Below are 2,580 nucleotides of genomic sequence, written 5' to 3' on the forward strand. Positions count from 1 at the left end.
TATTTTCATAAGATAATTCACAAAATAGTGCTAAAGGAAAAGGCATGTGATATCTTTGATGTAATTTTGTCTTTATAGATGCAAATATTAATGATGTATACATACAGACCTAGATCTATACATGTACTCACAAAGAAAGATGCTGGAAGGCAAACCAGTAAAATTTACCATTATTTCTTTCTTAGGATTAGATGAATGGTATTTTTTAAGTTTTCTGTACTGAACATGGGTTATTTTTGATACTAGGAAAAAATGTTACTTGCAACAATAAATATAATTTTAAAATCTACCATATCAATGAGTATATGTCTTTTTAAAAAGACCAGAATTAGTTGTACAACAATGTGAATATACTTCACACTGCTGAATTGTACACTTAAATATGGTTAAGATGGTAAATTTTATATGATGCCTATTTTACCACAATTAATTTTTTTTAAAAAAAGATAAAGAGATTATGGTAAAGCACTCTTCCATGAATAAAGTTACAACATTGTTTTAAAGCCCAGAAATAATTACTTTAAAATGTCAAGTGATTGCTTTTCTTTTTTTATTTTAAAATTTTGTTCTCCCTTATCATTATCCACAAATGGTTTCTTTTCTTTTTCCTGGGGGGTAGATTGCTGCTAGTAGTTATTTTCATCTTTATTTATTAGATTTATTTATTTCTAAAATATTGTATAGGGTAATTATTACCCTTAAATTAAAAAAAATTCATTCCATGATTTCAAAAATACTAAATAAAAACAGTGACTGTTTGGTAATTTGTCCTTGTTGACATGTCGTTTTGTATTTATTTTTATGTTGTTTCATGTGCAGATTTTATTTTCTCAAGGGGACTGCAGATTCCTAGTGGATCTTCTAGTGGTTTTGTTGTCTTCAGAGAGTTTTATACACATTAAAATTTGCATGTTCATCCACGACACTCACATCCACCCAAATAAAAGAGAAAGAAGCCTGCTGTAACCAAATTTTGACTGCTACCATTGTATTTCTTCTGCAAATATAAATATCTGATCATAAGGCTGTGTGAAACATTTTAAGTTGGTCAAAAACGAGACAGACATGTGAGTCACTCATTGTTGTCATTGTGCTCAGTATAGGTCTGAAAGCTCATCTATGTTAATTTTGACCAGAGTTCCCATCCTTTGTCTCTAGGCACAGGCAACACACTGAGCTGGCATCCTTGCTGTGGGATGAACAAAGCAATTTATCGTTATTGGCAAGTTGGCCAATTTCATCATTAATCGATCATTCACTTTTTCCAGTGTGGTCCTGAGGCATTCCTCTAGGGAGCAGAGGAATTAAGCAGGATTTGCTCGGTCAGGCATGGCAGCAACAGACTGTGAAAGAAATGTTCAAGGTATTTCGTCAATAACAGAAGGTCACTTGCCCTTGCAACAGTATGCATTTCAAACCAAAGGAAAATCAGGCCTAGGATTTTGGCTTCTCAGCGAGTTTTTATTATGAGCACCACCCCCTTCCTAGGCTGCAAATGCTTCTCCCAGAGGGATGCAGCGTAATTTTCACACTAGAGGAAAGCAGACCGCAGGAACACTGTGTCCCGACTGCTTCACTGCTTTGCACTCGCTGCAGACTCAGTCCTCAACCACTGCTTCATGTGAGGGCAACGGGGTGGAAAGGAGACGACCTGGCATGCCCGGTGTGGAATGCCAAGGACCTCTGTAAGATGCACACAATAGCTCTTTGCTCCTTTTGTATTGCCACAGCCCCCTCTGAAGAGTATTGATAAGGGGCCAGAACAGACAAGAAGTCAAGGACTGTGAACTAACAGGACTTTGAACCCCAGTTGCTTTTAAATTGACAAATAAGTGAACCTTTTAGCCGAAGATGAGGAAGAAATGAGATTTTGATCCACTTTGAGTATCTAATGCCTCTCTTAGAAGAAGAAAAGGCCCTTCTGAATGGTAACATTCCCCAGTGAGAGCCTATCAGTCGTCATCGTTCCGGGCAAAAGGCCCCGTGGAGACAGACACCACATGGCCCCCTGATCATCATCACACACTGCAGCAGAGAAGGATATGTCTGGATCTCCTTGTGTATGTGGTCAGATCACTACTTAACTTTGCATCCTGTGTACTAATCAATCATAATGCATATTAAATATAAGTATGTTTTCTAGCCACTCTGATATAGGGCTTACGACAAAAGAAAAAAAAAGAGTATTAATGCTCCTTTCAACTCCTTCCCCTAAAATAAACACAAAACAACAACAAAAATTGTAGTATCACTCTTTTTCACTTTTAATTCTTTATATCATCAACCCAAATTGATTGTCAGTATCTTAAGGATAGGAATCAAGTCTTCTACATAGTTTGCGTCACCCACAGTACCTAATCCAGTGCTGTGTCCTTCAGGCTCAATGCACGCTTACGAAGTCCATGGAAACTGCTTACGAAGTCCATGGAAACTAGCAGGTGCATAGCATGTTCTGGTCTTCACAGTGCCCTTCCATCTGGGAACATCTCATTGCACTCGTACCACTGAATTGAGTAGGAAATTAATACCCCAAAGTGTTGACTTCTCCTGTATCTTAGAGAAAGTGTGACTGAGATGAAA

At 37.4% G+C, this 2,580-nt stretch overlaps 1 annotated feature.

Annotated features, from left to right (window-relative positions):
• Positions 921-1,487: an enhancer, noted in NCBI's record as "NANOG-H3K27ac hESC enhancer chr1:214366166-214366732 (GRCh37/hg19 assembly coordinates)". NCBI's record gives its function as "activates a minimal SCP1, AML or CMV promoter by ChIP-STARR-seq in naive H9 embryonic stem cells {active_cell/tissue: H9 hESC(naive)}" and the evidence as "EXISTENCE:reporter gene assay evidence [ECO:0000049][PMID:30033119]".

Source organism: Homo sapiens, chromosome 1 (genome assembly GCF_000001405.40).
Source record: "Homo sapiens chromosome 1, GRCh38.p14 Primary Assembly".
Taxonomy (NCBI): domain Eukaryota; kingdom Metazoa; phylum Chordata; class Mammalia; order Primates; family Hominidae; genus Homo; species Homo sapiens.